General features: G+C 37.0%; 1 protein-coding gene across 3 annotated transcripts in view, besides 1 other annotated feature; it reads left to right on the top strand.

Annotated features, from left to right (window-relative positions):
* Window positions 1–20,653, top strand: part of CDK6 (cyclin dependent kinase 6) — a 231,653-nt gene that overhangs the window by 70,277 nt on the left and 140,723 nt on the right. The window lies entirely within an intron of this gene.
* Window positions 1,558–2,185: an enhancer, noted in NCBI's record as "OCT4-NANOG-H3K27ac hESC enhancer chr7:92393426-92394053 (GRCh37/hg19 assembly coordinates)". NCBI's record gives its function as "activates a minimal SCP1, AML or CMV promoter by ChIP-STARR-seq in naive and primed H9 embryonic stem cells {active_cell/tissue: H9 hESC(naive and primed)}" and the evidence as "EXISTENCE:reporter gene assay evidence [ECO:0000049][PMID:30033119]".

The raw sequence follows: 20,653 nt of genomic DNA, 5'->3' as shown, positions 1-20,653 counted from the left end.
CTACTTCTCAATATCTTCATTGCTATAGTTCTAGTTTAACCCATCAACCAGCTTCCTAACTCAACACACCACTTCTGCTCCTGCCCCTTTATGGACCATCCTCTGTATAACAACCAGAGGGACCTTATTAAAGCAGAAATAAAATTATCTAACTTCCCTACTGAAAACTTAGCTCCAGTGGTTTCTCATGACCTGTAGAATAAAATCAGAAGTCCTACATGATCTAGTGCTCCCCACCCCCTGCCTTTCTGATCTGCCTCCACTCTTCCTTGGGCCCACGGTTCTCCAGCCACAGTGGCCTTCTTTCTGTTCCTCCAGCTTGCTTCTAGCTCGGCATTTGTCCGTGCTGATTTTTCATCTGTTTGGAATGCTCCACACCCTCTAGCTCATGTCATGTCTTCATCATTCCTTCTCTGACCCTCTCAGCTACAACTCCACATCTAGTTATAGTTTATCACATTACACCACATTATCCTATTTTATCTTCTTCTTCATAGCACTTAGCTGAAATTATCTCATTTATTTTTTATGTTTGTTTTTTAATCTTTCCCAACTAGATGAGACTTTAAGTCAAGACTCTAGTCCATTGCACTAGCTCCAGGGCCAGCATACTGCCTGGAACATAGGGGATCCTCAGTAAACATGTGTTTGTAACTGTACTAGGTGTTTATCTTCTAATTAACTCAGAAATGTATGCATCAATACCACCATTGTACAAGCCAGGAAATGGTACTTTTTCAAGGATAAAATTTTTAAATATTTATATTACAGAAAAATAAGCTGAAGGTATGTTGTATCTTGGCACATTCACTTTGCACTTGCGCATTCAGTTCTCTGTGGTGGGCCGGGATTCTGGGATTATCTGTGTTGTAGCTAAGAATATAGCTTGGTTTAGAAATAGTCTAAAACCAATAACTGATCCTACCAAAACTATAAGATATATTCTCCTTAAAATAGTACTAATTCCAAAAATACTAACTGAATTCCAGAAATTGTTCTTCCCCGGGGTGGGACGCTTAAATATGTTTTATACCAAGGATGGAGAACTAAGCTCAGTGAAGAGACGGATGGATGTCATGAATTTTAGACCCTATTCTCGTATCTCAGGAGTATATATCTAAAAAATAATTTTGTAGTGATACATGTTTTTCATTTTAAAATTACTTTCCCTATATCCCAATTGTATGCTGTCTTCCCCATTCCCATCACGAGAACTAGAAGCTTCAAAGGAATAAGTTATTTTTTTAAATCTTTGAAGTACTATACTATATTTATTCATTTGGATTTTATCATTCTTACCCAGAAATTTCAGATGCCCATATATATTAAGTTGAAAAAAAGGACCATTCTACTAGAGCAATTGCCAACAATTTGCAATATTGTCATTACAAAATTTTAAATCAGTGAAAGGCATACAAAGTAGGTATCCATCAGTTATCTGAGATAGTATCTTATTCCTCATTCCTAAGCAAGGTGGAAAAAATTAAACAATCGTTTCATTGCAGTTAAGTAAGTAATTACTGGTTCTAGTAAGTAATTGTTGAATGAATATGTGGTTTCACAAAAAGTTGTATAATGAAGCCTTGCAAACCCCATAGTGCCAGTTATGAGAATCTGGTGTCTTCAGTATGTAGAATAATGTTGTAGTTACTGTCATTCTGTTCTTCCTCTTCCTCATCATCACCCTCTAGAAGCAAAATTGTCCTGAAAGATTGATTCTTACGGTAAATCAAGTGAGGAGGAGAGGTTGGCCTGAATATGGATTCATATATTTAATTAAGGACTTAGCATCTGGGCACTGTGACACTTGGAGTTTAGGGAGTAAAAGAGAATTCCTTGAATGTCAGAAATGACAAAGTGGGCTGGGCGCAGTGGTGCACACCTGTTATCCCAACACTCTAGGAGACCAAGGAGGACGCATCACTTGAGCCCAGGAATTCAACAATATGGCAAAACATGGAGAAACCCTGTCTTGACAAAAAATACAAAAATTAGCCAGGTGTTGTGGTGCATACCTATAGTCCCAGCTGCTCAGGAGACTGAGGTGGGAGGATTGCTTGGGCCTGGGAGATTCAGGTTGCAGCGAACCATGATCACACCCCTGCACAGCAGCCTGGGTGACAGAGCACAAGACCTTGCCTCAAAAAAAAAAAAAAAGACAAATAAACCTTGGCTACTACCATGTAATGGTTAGATTAATTAGGATGCCTGGAAAATGGACTAAACCCAACAGGTTTTTTTTTTAAACCCAACAGATTTTGCAAAAATGAGTAACTATCTAATAAAGGGTTGATAAAGGCTTTGTAAACACTATGCTTTGTTTCTCCAAGTGTGGTCAGTGAATCAACCACCTGGGGTGCTCACTTAAAATGACAATCCTGCCCTAACTGATTCCTCATTGTCAAACATAGTCTCAGGAGGGAGTTTCTAATAAGTACCCTCTGGTGACACCAGACACTGCAGCTTAAGACATACTCCCAACCCCCGCAGTATGTCATATGACACAAGTGGGAAATGGAAAACATCTCCCTTACATTCTGAGATGACTCAGACATCTGGAATATTTGCTTGCCTGTGCATTGGTAACCCCAGCCAATCAGTAGGTTTAGGCAATCTAAGCCCAGGTGAAGTCAGGTGTGGTGCTTTACTAACGTCATTGATATGTAGGAAATTTGTTTAAAGGCACTGAAGTTTTATTCCTTAAAATGTTCTATTGAAAAATACTTACTCATTAATAGGAGATATAAATTAAAGAGATGCTTAGGAATAGGAGAATTCCAACTAAAAATTTTTAAGCCACACAAAAATCTTTCCTTTAAAAAAGTGTTCATCACTCATTCATGATTTGACCTTTGAAAGTTGCTATTTGTTTCATATACACTAATGATTTAACAGTTCTCTAGGGTCTTAAATTAGTAAACCATTACCAGACTTGCAAGTGTAATGGGTCAGAATTCCTACTCCTGTTTTATTGGTAAGGAACCAAAACTATATTAAATTTAAATATATCATAGTCATAGGTTTTTAGTGCTGACACCAATGTGGCTAAACCTAGTACTCTGAGGCTCATATATTGAAAGCCATGAGTACTCAGAATCTAATTTTCTTCTAATTGTCATTCTAGGCCTTTAGCAAATTTAAGCTAGCAGTTTTGCTGATTTTTATATTACCAGTGTTCACTGTTGTCACTGGCCATACTTGTTAATTTTTTATTTCTTGGCCAAAACCAAAGAAAATATTTATCATTCTACTGTAGTATAGTCATACCACTTTTAGATTAGAATGTTAAACCAAATGTAGCAAAGATTGGGGACTGCAAGGCATAAAATAATGTTTAGGAACTGCAACATTAAAAGATAAGTTTACTATTAAGCAATCAGATTTAGATCAATCTGGAAATAGCTATCCTCAATTTAAGATGTTCTAGGCCGGGCGCGGTGGCTCACGCCTGTAATCCCAGCACTTTGGGAGATTGAGGTGGGTGGATCACAAGGTCAAGAGTTCAAGACCAGCTTGGCCAGTATGGTGAAACCTCGTCTCTACTAAAAATACAAAAAAAAAATTAGCTGGGCATGGTGGCACATGCCTGTAATCTCAGCTGCTTGGGAGGCCGAGGCAGGAGAATTGCTTGAATCCGGGAGGCAGAGGTTGCAGTGAGCCGAGATTGTGCCACTGCGCTACAGCCTGGGTGACAGAGCGAGATTCCATCTCAAAAAAAAAAAAAAAGGTGTTCTATGAATACGGTTAGTATGGAATAAACACTTGTTAAAATTTTAATTTCACTAATATATCATATGTTAATATTTAAGTCTGGAACTGAGAAATTCACCATTACTCATAGCTGAAGACTTGAAATGTTTGTTGAGACTAAGATGGTATAAAAGCTATGAGTGAGGGCCCTGCTTCCCTCTGCTTCCTTCCTCTACCAAAATATATTCCGGGTCGGGAGGATGGGGTTCAAGAATAGGGAAGAAATAGGTTGGTGATCACAGGAAGAGAATTGGTTGAATGAGTCACAAAAAAGAAGGAGAGATTTATTTACCATAAATAAACCAAAAAGAAAGTGCTTTTTTAAAAAGCATGTGATTATGCTGAGTGTAAGTGCCTGAAACATTACATTGCTAATTCTTGTCCCCCCCATTATGATTATTACTCTGATCATAGCAATTGATCTTGTAAACCTCAAGTCCTTTAATATTTCAACCAGAAACTAAAGATGAGTTGACTTATATCTTTAGTACAAAACTATGTAAATTGAAATAAACACCACAGAAGGACATAAATATCAGTTAAGTTTTGTCTTTGACATCATCTTTTCTTAATGTTGCCACTATACTAACAGCCCATGATATGCATCTTATCTTTGCTGCAAAATCCTAATAAAAACACTTGGGAACTTGGAAGGAAGTAAAACACAAATTACATTAGAGTGAATTAAGAAAAAGAGTTGCATTTTGGTATCCTCCCAAGTGGGGAGATTTATGAGAGCATCACACATGAAGAGAAAGGACTTCTTTTTTGTTTCAACTCCACCATCACTTTCTCCACAGTTTCACTGGACTTCTTACTTTATTTATCACCAAGTTCTATAATTAACATATGGTTCATGTTATTGATTTCTCAGGTTTCAAAGTAAAATAAATTGAGCTTTCTTCCACATTTAGAATATACAGTTTTTTTAAGGAACTCTAAACAAAGGCACACATTATTTGTAAGTTGGAGAGCAGCTGCCAGAAAACAGAAAATTAGGAATGGAGTCATGAGTGAAATAATGGAGATACTGTTCAGAGGTAACCCTTTGTACAGCAGGAAATTTTCCTTAGAAAAGAAGACAGCTGAGTTTGCTTGTAAATTTTGCTAGAAACAGGCCTGATTTAGTAACATTTAGTGCTGGTTAGGAGGCTGAAGACAACACTTTCAGCTTTGGATACCAAACGAGTGGCCTGTTTTATATTTTGTACACAGTCTAAATACTTTATAGTTTCAAAAGATATGTGTGTAGGAGAGAGCTATTATTAATTTTTTAAATGATATAATAATATGTAAACAAATATTTTTCAGATCTGGTAGTAGAGTTTTCTAAGTGCGAAACAGTAGAAAATATCGCAAAGGAAATGATTCATGCATTAGACTATAAAAATTTTAGACTGAAAATATTATAAATAAAACTAAAAAGCAAATGATAAAATATTTGCAAAAACTATGGCAAAGGTTTAATATCCTTAATATATAAAAAGCTCTTACAAACCACTAAGAAAAAGGAGATTACCCAGTTTAGATATGGATAAGAACATGAACAAATTTGCAAAGATGTACATATATACAGAACGCTGGTAGACATGGGAAATGCTCAACCTCCCAAATAATTAGAGAAATGAACAATAAAAAAATGTACCATAGGGGATGATTAAATACATTATGAAAATTTATCTAGCAAAATGAATACATCTCATAGGATGATTTTTCAAAAAATCTCATATTGTTGAAGAATAATTGCCTAAAGAAATACATATATACAATATGATCCCATTTTGGGAATGTATTTCAAATACATATATTAAAAAACTAGCATGAAATTATTAACAGTATATATCTCTGTCAGGGTATTATGGGTTCCTTATAATTTATTGTTTACAATGGGTTAGTGCCATACAACATTAAAACCCTTTGACATTCCCAATAATTGACTGGTTTTGCCCTACAAAAATGACAGTTTCATATAATTCAACCCAATATTTTTATAATCCAACAAAAGGCTGTTTTAGCATACATCTTATTGGGGAATGCCCTCTATTACAGAAAAGTTGAAGTTCTCACATCTGAATCTTTATAGCCCAACATAAGAATTAACAACATAGTGTCACTTCCTTTGCTCTTAGGCAACACAAAGGGACAGGTTTTGTAAAATAATCAGTGTGTATACATTAAAAACATTCAGTACATGTTTACTGATGATGATGATATTGATAAAATAGCAAACATTGAAGGACTAGGAAAAATGATATGATAAGTTTTCTAATGAGATTTATTGACACCATTGTTATCTCCTTTAGTCTTACAAACATTTTACCATTAAATAGTATAATTGGGCTATGGAGAAATTTCACTTGATTGTAAATGGAAGCAATTGCTGATGAGAGTAAATTTTTAAATTAATGTCTGTGTACAGAATACAGTAAAGTTGCAAGCCTATTTTTACTACAATGACAGTTACTGATACAGGGATTTCTGTAACAATCTCTAGGCTTTCAATACTTTTAAAATCCTGGATTAGCAGGTACAGGGAGATTGTCCGTGAATAGATAAGATATTATGAATGCTGAATTGGTTTAATGAAGCAGTGTTAGATGTCTTTCCATTTTCAGTTTTTCTTGAAGCAAAATATTTAATTTGAGACTTGAAGTGCTAACAGCAATCTTCATTGTATGTGCATGGCCATACAGCAACATGTTTGTATATAACTCCACTGTCCACTCAAGGACAATATACATTTCTTTCAAATTAAATGGGATAAAAGGGGAAAGTGATGCCAAACAAAGGGAATTTGTGTGTATGGTTTTTTTTTAAGCTTTCTTTTTTCTTTTTTTTTTTTTTTTTTTGCCTTAAAGTCTGTTGTTCCATCCTACTGTGGCCTTTTGAAAGTATGAAGGTGAAAATAGACCAGTATGGATAACAGTAAATGAAAACTGCTGAGGACACATCACTTGCAGAAAGATAAATACCCATAGTTTTGGTAATGCCCCTGTTGGATTTAGAAAACTGGCCCCACCACACACATTTTTTAAAAAAAATAACTTTTATCCCAGACCAAATCATTTCTATAGTAGCTAAAATTGGTGTGTTCCAGACTCGTCCTGTGAGCCTATATGCCATCAAAGCAGATACACTTAAGGTGGAGGCAGCAAGCCCTGATGCTAATCTGAAACACAGGTTAAAGGAGAGTCCTATTTCACTAAGACAGAAACCACTAAGCTTTTTTGCCTCCAGCCAAAATAACAAAGTCCTAGCCTTTGGTGATTGATGAGCATGTTGCCAGGGGAAATGGACTGGAAAATCATCGCCTTGTCTTTTACTTGCCACAGGAAAGCCATAACAGAGATCTCTATTCTTCTTGTTCTGATAAGAGACCTAAGGAAGCATGAAGAAGGGCTAAGAAGCCTGGGTGTGTGTTATATTCAGCTGCTTGCTGGATTGCCTTTTAAAATACAATTTGTAGTTCCCTAACTCACAAATAGAACATGGATAGTTGGCTAGCCTTTGACAAGCCATGCAGCTTTTTAACCACAGCTTCAGCAAAGTTTTGGGGTATAAAATCAGTGTACCAAAATCGTTAGCATTCCTATACACCACCAACAGACAAGCCAAGAGCCAAATCAGGAAGGCCAGATCCCATTCACAATTGCCACAAAAAGAACAAAATACCTAGGAATACAGCTAACCAGGGAGGTGAAAAATCTCTGCAATGAAAATTACAAAACACTGCTCAAAGAAATCAGAGATGACACAAACAAATGGAAAAACATCCCATGCTCATGGATAGGAAGAATTGATATCATTAAAATGGACATACTGCCCAAGACAATTTACAGAATCAATGCTGTTCCTATTAAACTACCAAAGACATTCTTCACAGAACTAGGAGAAAAACTATTTTCAAATTCATATGGAATCAAAACAGAGCCTGAATAGCCAAGGCAATCCTAAGCAAAAAGAACAAAGCTGGAGGCATCATGCTACCGAACTTCAAATGATACTACAGGGCTGCAGTAACCAAAGCAGCACGGTACTGGTACAAAAACAGACACATAGACCAATGGAACAGAATAGAGAGCCCAGAAATGAGGCCACACACATATGACCATCTGCCCTTCCACAAACCTGACAAAAACAAGCAATGGGGAAAAGATTCTCTATTCAGTAAAGGGTGCTGGAATAACTGGCTAGCCATATGCAGAAGATTGAAACTATACCCCTTCTTTACATCATATACAAAAATCAACTCAAGAGGGATTAAAGACTTACATGTAAAACCCAAAACTATAAAAACCCTGGAAGACAGCCTAGGCAATACCATCCTTGACATAGGAATGGGCAAAGATTTCATGTCAAAGACACCAAAAGCAAAAATTGACAAGTGAGCTCTAATTAAGTTTATGAGCTCTGCACAGCAAAAGAAACTATCACAGAGTAAACAGACAACACCCTACAGATTGGGAGAAAATATTTGCAAACTGTGCATCTGACAAAGGTATAATATCCAGCATCTGTAAGGAAATTAAACAAATTTACAAGATAAAAAAATTAAAAAGTGGGCAAAGGATATGAACAGACACTTCTCAAAAGATGATATACATGTGGTCAACAAGCATATTTAAAAAAAGCTTAATATCACTGATCATTAGAGAAATGCAGACCAAACCCACAATGAGTTACCATCTCACACCAGTCAGAATGGCTATTATTAAAAAGTCACAAAATAGCAGATGCTGGCAAGGTTGTAGAGAAAAGGGAACACTATACACTGTTGGTGGGAGTGTAAATTAGTTCAACCATTGTGGAAATCAGTGTGGCGGTTCCTCAAAGAGCTAAAAGCAGAACTACCATTCGACCCAGCAATCCCTTTACTGGGTGTATACCCAGAGGAATAATGAATCATTCTACCATAAAGACACATGCATGTGAATGTTCATTGCAGCACTATTCATAATAACAAAGACATGGAATCAACGTAAATGCCCATCAGTGACAGACTGGATAAAGAAAATGTGGTACATATACACCATGGAATACTATGCAGCCATAAAAATGAACAAGATCATGTATTTTGCAGGAACATGGATAGAACTGGAGGCCATTATCCTTAGCAAACTGATGAAGGAACAGAAAACCAAATACTGCATGTCCTCACTTGTAAGTGGGAGCTAAATGATGAGAACTTATGAACACAAAGAAGGGAACAACAGACACTGGAGTCTACTTGAGGGTGGAAGGTAGGAGAAGGGAGAGGAGCAGAAAAGATAACTGTTCAGTACTGGGCTTAATACCTTGGTGATGAAATAATCTGTACAACAGACTCCTGTGACACAAGTTTACCTATATAAAAAATCTTCACATGTACCCCCAAACCTAAAATAAAAGTTAAAAATCAATATTACAGTACTTTGTTATCAGAAAGCACAGATCCTTAAAGACTATATTGGCAGTGAACTTTTTTAAAAGGCTCGGGTTGCATTATATAGTATATTTTGGAAATGTATTTGTTTAAGAGATTAGCATTTCCAATTCCATGACTTCTTCCTTTGTGTTTTTTTCCAGGCCTGTGTTTCAGTTCTGGGTTAGAAACATTTTAAACCTTTCCTAAATTCAGTAGCTCTCTCACAAATTATATTTAGAAAAGAAAAGCCCCACCAAAGTTATTCCCAGATCCCTTATCCAGTGGAGGTGGGTATGCATACTCCGTTTCTTCCCCCTCTGGTCTTGCGCTTCTTGCCCAATTGAAATGGAGAATTTTGTTAATCCCATTTGTTATTGGAAAGATAGATTGCCTGTCCCTTTAACAGGATGGCCAAAGAATGACAATCCTGAGCCCACCACTCTAATGTTGCATTGGAAGAGTTCCCCTGGAAGTAGAAGCATACATCTTCCTTCTATTAATACCAACAGTGAACCTGATACAACTCTTTAAGTTATTGCAGTCTCTTCTCTTTTATTCTCCAACAAATGAGAGCCCTGTCTAACCTAGATCTAAACCTACATTGTTCATTGACTGAATTCCCTGGCTTCTGTGAGGGTTCCTTATTTTCCCAGAAACTGGGTAAAGCCGATTCACATCAACTGGTTAAAACTTTGAATAGAAGAAAAAGTGAATTAAATAGATTCTTGTTTTTATGAGCTTCTCCACTACTTCAGAGCAGCAAAATTTCACTACATGCCATGCCCAGCCACAAAATTGAGGAGCCTGTTTGTTGTGCCTTTTTGAAATGGCCTTAGGGCTTCCCAAATTTGTTGTAAAAATCTTACCAATGTAATTTTCCCATTACACCTTTCCCCCTTTTCTCCTTAAACTTGACTTTTGAGTTGTACACAAGATCATAGTTAGGTGAGTTTTTTGCTGGGTCTTTTTTTCTTTTTTTTTTTACAATTTTACATGCCTCTATTCACTCATCTGTGCCTAAATCAGCAGGGCCTAATCTATAACAGAGCCACCTTTTTAAGTGACCGCCAGCTGAGTTTGATCCCTTATTATATTAAAGGGAGAAAGTGGACTTTGCCAAGGTTGGGGCAGATTCTCCAACCTTGCAAAACGTTGTGGGCAATTAATGGGCTTGAACATGAGGTTCTTTTGTGTGTGTGTTTGTATGTGCACTTGTATGTGCAAGAAAGAGTGAAAGAGATACCCATGCATAGAATTTTTAAACCGGGCAGCTCTGTGGTAGTTAGCTAGAGGCAAGAGATACCCTGTTGGCTCCCAGACCTTCCTGGAAGCTGACTGTTGGAAAAGACTCCTTGGAGATAAATCTCATGTGGTTCCCTTTTGCCTGAATGGTATCCGCACCCCAACTTATACCTTAGGAGGCTTTGGAAGAGGAATACTTTTTATATCTAATGCACTTTGGAGATTGGAGTCCTGCAGCAATTTGCCACTCAGGAAAATAAACTAGCATATTAACTCCCAGCAAATGCCACCTCCTTGGTTTGAAGCGGTTTGTAAAGCATTTTCTTCCTGGTTTGTGCGCACCACATTGTTTCAGCTCCTCTCATCACTGACCAGCTGGCTTGTTGGTGAATAGAGCTGTGGGCCCCTCGCCATGTTTCATGTGAGGTCTTGGCTGGGTGGCAAACAGGCAGCCTGTAGCCAGTGTCAGCAATTCAGGAGGAATTGGCACAGCAGTGTCCCCATTAATTTCTGCTTGTCACATACTGTCATGCAAGTTACACCAGAGAGGAAATGACCGTTAAAAAAAAAAGGTACCCTTGTGGCACTGGGTCCCCTCCAGACGTTCCCCGAGGTTAAACAAGTGGATACAATTAGCCCTACACAGACAGCTGCGGGGAAAGGAAAGCCTAGAAGTGGGCCCCACAGCAATGTGTCTTTCCTGTTAGCAAGGAGTGTCGGCTATCAACATCTGCCATATTTTAACCCTTCAAAGGGACCAGTAAATTAAGGGGAGCTATTATCCCACGCTCTGCTGATCATTATCAATCATAATGCCTTGGGAAATTACCACAGTGCTGCTGCCTTGGTGGCAGGTTTTGTCCTTTGGGGGATCGTTTTTATGTTTTTGCTGAGAGCAGAGAAGAGTGGTAGGGCCAAGAGGGTGAAAGGAAATGGACTCTGTTAATTGTTGGTAATTTACTGCCACAGGGAAGGGGACTAGAGCGGCAATAAACTCCTCCTCAGCTCAAACTGAAGTAGTTAAAATTGGTGGGCTCCAGACGGCTTCCATTTCCAGAAAGATCCATCTTGCTGACTGTCAACCCTTCTTTACCACAAGCTATGGTGACTTTTAGGGAGCACAAACAAGAAGAGACTTTGGGAAATGAGAACCAGTTATAGAGGAGAAAGGCAATCCAAGATGAGAAAAGAAACTCTAAAATACAGGCTTCCAAAAACTGTTGTTTTATTTTTTAAAGATTGAATTAAGCTGCTGTTATCCAAATAGAGTCCTGACTAACCTTTATAAGCACATACTGTGCTTTGGAGTGGCTTTGTCTAGTGAAATTCTGATTACCAGCACAGAGGGATGGGTGACTGAGATGGTCCTGTGTGAAATTATGTTTGTTCCAACTTACTCAATTGAACTAATCATTAAAACTGTTTACAGAAAGAATGGGGGAAAAGAATGGTTTCTTACCATGTTTTAACTTCAACAGGTTTTGCGTTCATTTATGTAGACCTGGAACTTTCTCCTCTGAAAAGAGACCATTTTGCTTTGGGGGCATAAAAATGACAGGAGTTCTGAAAATGATCAATACTAATGAGTACAGGAAAATGAGCTGATGTTCATCTAAATGATTGCACCAAAGACAATGCAGTGCAGGGAATAATCATCTTCTGATTTTACTGAGATGCTTCCTGAATGTTACTGAGGAAGATGCTGGCACCATTTAAAATATTTAAGTGAGGGATAGAAGCAACCATTAGGATAATTGAGTGGAAGTAACAGTGTTACTGTGTTTATTGAGACTTCATCTCTTCCTGTGTGGAAGAAGTGACAGGATCACCAAGCAGAGCCTGGAGAGATTGTCAGTGATGAATGTTAGGGCTGTTCCCATCCTATGACATTATCTAGTCTGAGACCCTCATTGTATATGTTAGAAAACAGAAATCAGAGGTTAGGGACTTGTCTATGATCTCACAATGAAGCAGAGGTGGAACACAAGGTTTCCATTCCCAGGTGAACTGTTTATATCATTCCATGAGCTGACTCAGCACAGGAGTTATGACCAATACTAGCAGCAACAAAGGGGTCCTCCTACCTCATTGAAAGCAGGGAGTAGGAATGAACCACAAATCTGAGGTAGAAACGGCTTTCTTCAATACTTCTGCCATGATGTCAGGCAGGAAACTTGAGGCACCAGTTTTAGTTGGCCCTCTTAGAGCAAGAGATGCCAATTTCAAAAGGTAGTCTTCTTACTAGCTGGGCGTGGTGGTGTGCACCTGTAATCCCAGCTACTCGGGAGGCTGAGGCAGGAGAATCGCTTGAACCCAGGAGGCAGAGGTTGCAGTGAGCCGAGGTTGCACCACTGCACTCCAGCCTGGGCGACAGAGCAAGACTCCGTCTCAAAAATAAATAAATAAATAAGATAATCTTCTTATGCAATTTTAAGTATATCTAAAAATTGAGAAATAAAAGTATTTCTCAAAATAATGTGTAGATTCTGAGAAATTTGCCTCATTCGGTATTTATAATTTTTCAAATGTTAGATCACAAAGGAAAATCAGTAAGGTACACATAAATGCGAGCCCTCATGAGTATGGGCTCAATCACTAATTATGGGATCTCTGGTCTTACAGATGGGTAGACTGTAAATGATTTTTCATCTACTCTTGTTGCTGATCTCTGATTTTAGGGGATCATCAGTAATTGAATTCTATTTGAGATTAAATCCACTTCTGAACATCAGGTTGTGACATTTATTAAGTTATTAAATCATATGCTTCAGTATTCACAGGTGAAGCATATAATTTAATAACTTAATAAGGTCACAATTTGATGTTCAGAAGTAGATTTAATCACCATAAAGTAGGTTGTTTCTTTGGTTAAATATGAAAATATAGAGAAAGTAAATAAATTAGGCTTGCTTCATGTTTAAAAAGCATTATTATTTCAGAATTGTTTCTTTGGCCTAATTTCAGGATCTGTCGTATAATGTCAGGCTTCAGTTGAAGCAGTTACCTGAAGATTGTGTAGACTCTAGAGGAATACCAGAGGATTGGAAATAGGAATAGCAGAGAAAATACCAATTTAGTGAACAATGATGAGCCAATTAGACAAAAAAAACATTGGCTTGAACTTCATGGGAAGGCACCGAATCATTACTAACTCCTGTGGTATTCAGAATAATAACATCAATCATGATGAACTGCTTTGGTAGTCATATGTCTGTATGTAATTCCATAAAAATTCTCTTAGTTTTGGCATTAATTAATAGTGACTGTATTTTATAAAATGGCGTATTTCATTGAAAACACTTACGTTTAAACATGTCATCTAAGAACTTGAAAATCTTTCCTAACATGCATTAAAATGATAATTACTGAGTTCTCATGGGAAAAAGTAGTTTCTCATTTTAGGTCCCAAAGTTTCAACAGCATTTGGTATAGCATTTCATTTCACTTGTGGTCCTAATGACTCACTGCATTCTTTTCACCAGAACTTATCCCCTGTTTACTCTCAGAGTTCTGTCTCATGTAGACACAAGCCTAGTAGTGAATCAATAACATGACTATTTTCATGAACAGTGGAATAGTTCAACCTCTGCAATGCCATTGGAAGACATTGTCTAGTCTGCAAGTTTAAGGAAATTTAACATTTCCTATACCTTTATATCTTGATTGGGTTTGGCTTTTTTTTAAAGATTAAACTCTGAGGGAAACTTCTCAAAGCTGAGCCTAGGACATTCTCATGCAGTTGGGAAGCAGCACTGTCCTTATTTTACAGATGGAGGCAGCTGGCATAAATAGCTACTTAATGATTTGCCCAAGTTCACACAAGTATAGAGCCAGGAGCTAGATTTGTGACTCTTGCACAACCCATTAGACTGTTTTCATTTCATCTAAGTCACCATAGTAGAATTAAATATAATTTTTATATCTTTGTCAGTGCTCTTTAATGAGTTAACTCCTACTTAACATAAATGTTTTAGCATTTCCGTGCCCTCTGGGCCATTAAGGTAATTTATTTTTATAATTTTAATTATTATAATCCTCTTAAGTGTATAAAATAAATTCAGAAATGAAATGAAGACATATATTTAATTGTATTATTATTAAACCACATGGTATAAATGATAGGATTCAGAAATAAAAGTTTTTCATTAGATTTTGGCCATTCATAAAATATATTGTTGTTTGCTTAACATCCCTAAAATTATTTTCAGAGTTAAGGAGAATATACTCTTATCACTGCATATTTACTTTACAACCATTGAGGAATACATACTGTGTGCTTTACAAAGATACAGCCTAATTTATTTGCAAAAAGTTAATAAAACTGCGTATGTGATAACAGTTTTTATGCTGTTTCCTCACAGATCTCTGTTAATTGTTACCTGTTTATGGTTACTTTTGCTGTATTGTTATCATTGAATTAGGATAGTCTCCAGTTAAATTATCTTCTCTCCAATGAAAAAATCCTGCTTAAAAAAAATCTGAGGGTATGATGTACAACTTTTACACATGATACATGAACTTTAACACAATTGTGAATTAGAGCCCAACTTAGTTCAAGACAAAATGTATCTCGAACACTTCTTTTCTTCTTAAAATATCAGCAATAATCTAGTATCCAAAGTAGGAGATTCATCATCACCTTAAGACTTCTTAGCAGTTTTTCTTGTGTGACAAAATATTTTACACCTTTATTTGAGAACAAAGGAAGATTATGAGAGACCACTAGAAATGGAATTTTAGCATTTCGAAGGAATTTTTATATGACGTTGTTCCTCTTGGCAATTCAGAAAGCACTCCAGGAATTTGTCTAGTTAGTGTTTTGTATATATTAGAATCTGTGTCTATTTCCTTTGTAAAAAAATACGAAGACCTCCCAAGTCATAACTTTTATTATCAATTCTTGTAATGATCAAATATGACGTCTGTACAGGAAATAAATCGTGTAGTAGTTTAGCTGGTAATCCATGTTCTGCCTCAAAACCTAGGAATGAATGGCTTATTAGCTGTTGAAAACTCTGTCATTAAGTATCATTAAATCCTTTTTTTAAAAACTTCCTTTATGCCAGGTAAATTTTTATATTGCGAAAACTGAATTAAGCCAAAGAAAGGCTTGCAAAAACCAATTCAGATCACACTGTGACTATAACAAGACATTTTCAAAACCAGCATTCCAGTTGTTCTGTCAGGTCATTCCATCAGGTCTCAAAAGGTGACTAGGATGCTGAAAAAGGTTTGCCTTCCACATTGTGACGTAAATTCATTTATTTGTGTTACTTTTGTTTAGAAATGGCTTGTTACAATAAGGTTTTATCACTGTGACTCATAGATCATGTAAAGTCAGCCCATTCCCGTTTTACTCTTTCTTGTAATTTTCAAAATATGGCGTAGTGGCAACCCAAATTGAAATCTTGAGAAGCTGGCAAGGTTGATCAAAGTGGAATCCACAAATTAGGATTGTAACCAAAACTGGAGGAATCATTTTTAACCTACTCAGGAGGCCATTTTAGAGTCCTGAAGGTATCACTTATACACAAATCAGTGAAATTATAACATTTTTAGAGTTGGAAAATTCCTTGGAATATATGTAGCCCAGCCTCTCCCCACTTTATGTTTAAGGAAGTGGGTCCCGAAGAGGGTGGTGAGTTGCCCAAAGTCATGCAGTTAGTACTGTGCTAGGACTGTAACCAAGTTCCTATTATTCTAGTTCGGTGGACTTTCCAAAAGCCATATAAATGTGTTTTTCTCACTCATGTAGAATTATTTCCTAGAATAAAGACCTATATTTAAAACATCTTATTACTGGTTTGAATGTGTTACTATACTTGCTTGTACATTGCTCTAAAAACAATGTTAGTTTGAACTTTGCCCTCATTTGACTGACCTACCCCAGAATCAGTAATGCTCTCTTCACTAGAACTTTCATTCTTAACATTTTATTCTCCTCAACTAGAGCCTCATTCCAAGTACAGTATATATTTTTTCTCCATGAAGAATTGTAATCATTTATGTCTCTGCATTTCATTTCAGTAGTGCTCACTATGCACTATCAAAGTTATTATCCTATTTCCCTGGTAATCACTTGCGTATTTGTCAAATAAGGGTGTATGTTGAATAAACATGTGGCTTTTATTCAATTTGGTAAACATTTATTGCATACCCTCACAGGACTAAAGAAGGCTACAAATCAGTACAGCAGAATGCCTTCAAAAACTTACAGGACACACCCACCAAGTGCTGCAGAGCAGTCAGAAGTTCCCTATGAGATATAAGTGGAAAAGAGGTTCAGAGGATCAAAAATGTACATGTGATTATAGGAATGAGAATTTGATATGAATACCCTGAAGAATTTCAGGTTTGGTTTTGGACATTGGCATCTGTTTTTTCTCAGTTGATCTTTTGTTTGTTTGGTTTTGGTTTTTGGTTTGTTTTTGTTTTTGTCAGACAGAGACATTTCCATTACTCAGGCTAGAATGCAATGGTGAGATCATAGCTCACTGCAGCCTTGAACTCCTGGGCTGAAGCAATCCTCCCAAGTAGCTGAAACTACAGGTGCACACTACCACACCAAGCTAACTTTTTAATTTTTTTTGTAGAGACAGGGTCTCGCTATGTTGCCCAGGCTAATTTCAAACTCCTGGGCCTAGGCAATTCTCCTGGCTCAGCCTCCCAAAGTGCTGGGATTTCTTTTTTTTTTTTTTTTTTTAGGCAGAGTCTCCCTCTGTTACCCAGGCTGTAGTGCAGTGGTGTGATCTCAGCTCACCACAACCTCCGCCTCCCAGGTTCAAGCAATTCTCCTGCCTCAGCCCCCCGAGTAGCTGGGATTACAGGCATGCGCCACCACGCCTGGCTAAGTTTTGTATTTTTAGTAGAGATGGTGTTTCACCATGTTGGTCAGGCTAGTCTCAAACTCCTGACCTTGTGATATGCCCACCTCGGCCTCCCACATGCTGGGATTACAGGTGTGAGCCATCGCGCCCAGCCGTGTTGGGATTTCAGGCATGTGCCACCACCCCTGGCTCACTTGATCTTAAGTTGCAAAATCACATTCATTAATTCTATAGGTGTGGATGGGGAATGGGAGTGGGATATGAGTAGTCATATATTTGCCTTCCATGGGGCCTCAGGAAGCAGTGCCTCAACTAGATTTAAGGAAGTACTGTAGTACTGAGAGGTCTTAAGGCCAAAAGACACCATCTGCTTATTTCATTTTATTTATTCTATGTTATGAAAGAGAGTCCCTAGCAACAAGACACCTGGTTACTAGCCATGTGACTTGAGCAAGTCACTTGACTTTTCTGAGCCCTAGTTTTCTTATCCATAAAACAAGGATTAAAATATGCAAGTCAAATGAGTTAAAATGTAGAAAGTATTTTGTAGACAGTTCAGCATTCTATGATATAAAGGATGGAGATTCTTCTCTTGTGTATTTTCTAGTTACGTCCATGTGCTTTTCAACTGATCATAGAACTATACCAAGGGTCTGACCAGTAATAATACTGGCATATCAAAATTGCCTAAAGTGATGTCAGCTAGATTTTGCATGGAGCCTTTAATGGCCCGCCAAAATGACTTGATCTACTTGGTGTCCCTAAAGGCCTTTCTTCCTTCTGGTTTGAGCGTTTGTTGACTATAAAATGCCTTTTTTGCATTTCCTGCTCCTTCTTGCTGATGATATAATAGTTGCTTCTTGAAATACTATTGAAAATCTTCAGATTCTCTGGAAAGCCATATTCTGTAACCTGTTATCTGTAAAAGTTCTGAGTATAGAACATGCAGTATGCCATTAGAACACACAATAAGTTTAGAGATTTAATTTTAAGAATTTTCCATTGTGTATTGAAACACTTAAAAAGTAAAAGCCCTGGGAATAATATAGTATATTACCATCTGCGCATTTTCCCTCAATTCTTTCCTGATGGTAGCTGATGAAATTGAAATGGTAATTTTTAGAATGTTCTAATATTTGATGTATTTAAAATACATCACCTTTTATTGGCCTGCTTTATATGGGAACAAGAAAGCCTACCTAGCAAAGAAATACAACCTAGTTTTATATCTTATTTATTCTGTAAGTCCTTGTGCAGCAGCATGTTAATGTGGACACACAGCTTGTAGATAATTTAAAATCTAGAAAGGGAGAATGAGATACATAGAGAAATAGCCACCACATAAGGCAGTTTATGACGAATACAGTGTGTTACAAATGACAAAAGCCACAGGAATTCAGAAGAGGGAAAAATAAGGACTGGCTTCCTAAAGAAAGTGGCAATTTTTTTAGAATATTGAAGCTGTTACTCTGAGGCATGAGTGACACAAGCCAGCAGAAGCCAGAGATTTGAAGTCTTGCTCAAGATTTGCTGGTTTCCACTTGGGGAAAGACACCATTAGGCTGGGTACATCTGGAGAGATGAGTGCAAGAAGCCAGTTAAGCAGGAGAGAAGTGGACTTGATTGTGGAGGCACTGTGTTTCAAACTCAAATTAGGCAGCTCTTGGGTGGGTGGCTGATACCATTGTTGTGTTTTCAGCTGATTAATCTGGTAGCAGTGTGCTCGTTTAGGAGAAATTACAACAGGAGATCAGTCAAAGAGAATGGTCCTCTGGTTTGGGAATGAAATAATCAGGGCCTGTACCTGGAGTGGGGCAATGATGATTAATTGGAAGGAAATGAGAAATTGAGAAGACTTGACAGGACTTGGTTACTCATTGTCCGGAGTAAAGGAAAAGCAGAAATAGGTAAGTTAATTATCAGTTTGGGGAAGGTGATTATATAGTTTAGTCTTGTTGAATTTGGCCTGGAATAGGAAGGTATATCTCAGGGCACTGCAATAACTTGTGGCTGCAACTTCTGAGCCCCATGTAACCTTTGAGGAGTCATGGAATCTAGGAGAGGTGCCACAATACTAGAAGTGAGAAATATTCTGTGTTTTTTTAAAGATAGGAAAAAGATAGATTCTACAAAATACAATCCAGCAAAATTGATACTGATTTTAGGTTATTAAAATAATAAGTTGTGAGCATATAGAAAAATAACTGGTTAAGAAGTATGAAAAAATGCCCAAATCTCACTACAATAAGAGAAATGAAAAGTAAAATGATAGTAAATATTTCCCCCATCATATTGAGGCAAGCAAAAAAAATAAAAAGTTTTATAATGTCAGGTGTTGGTGAGACTGTTAAGAAATGGATAGTCTCGTACACCAACTGTTGGGATTATAAATTGGAACAGATTGAGTATCTCTTATCTGAAATGCTTAGGACCAGAACTGTGTTTTGGATTTTGTATTTTTTCAGATTTTGGAATATTTGTGTATATATAATGAGACATCTTTGGGATAGGTCCCAAGTCTAAACACAAAATTATTTTTCATTTATGCTTTATACACATAGCCTGAAGGTAATTTTATACAATATTTATACTTCTGTGCATGAAACAAAGTTTGTGTTAAGTACTTAAACGTGGAATTTTCCACTTGTGACATCATGTTGGCATTCAAGAGGTTTTAGATTTTGGAGCATTTTGGATTTTGGATTTTCAGATTAGGGATGCTTTGCCTTTAAAGCATTTTGGAGGTAATCTGGAAGTATCTTTTAATATTAAAAATACATATGTTCAGCGACTGAGACTTCTCACTTCTCAGAGAAATCCTGGTACAAGGGCAAAAGGAGGCATGAATAAGAAAATTTGCTGTAGCATTAATTATAATGGAAAAAATGGAAATAATCTAAGTTCATTAGTAGAGGGATGGCTGAATAGACTGCTATGTATAGAATACTATGTGACAATTAAAAAGAATGACATAGACCTATAAGAAATTATCTTTAAGGCACAGTGTTGAGTTGGGGGAAAGCCATTTTTTGGACTGTAGGTACGGTCTGGTTGGTTCCATTTATCTGAAGTACATGTATATCTCATATAATTCACAGAACCAAACCTGGAAGAATATACAACAAACTGATAATAGGGACTACCTCTTTGGAAGAGACTAAGATTAGGGTAGGTGATAAGTTTGCCAGATTTAGCAAATAAAAATAGTGCTTAGTTAAATTTTCATTCTTTTGCTGTATATTCAGTGTTTATTGGATGGCTGGATTGATAAATATAGTATGAAGCAGATTTGGGGCCCAAAGTGAAAAAGCAGCAGACTTATCAGCAACACAGGTTCCTGGAAATAGCGGCTACATTTAAAATTTTTTCATGGAAAGTTATTTTCAAACTCAAATACTCTACCCTCAACCTTATCTAATTTAATCTTTAT

Source organism: Homo sapiens, chromosome 7, assembly GCF_000001405.40.
Source record: "Homo sapiens chromosome 7, GRCh38.p14 Primary Assembly".
Lineage (NCBI taxonomy): Eukaryota > Metazoa > Chordata > Mammalia > Primates > Hominidae > Homo > Homo sapiens.
This window is presented reverse-complemented; position numbering and strand designations above follow the sequence as displayed.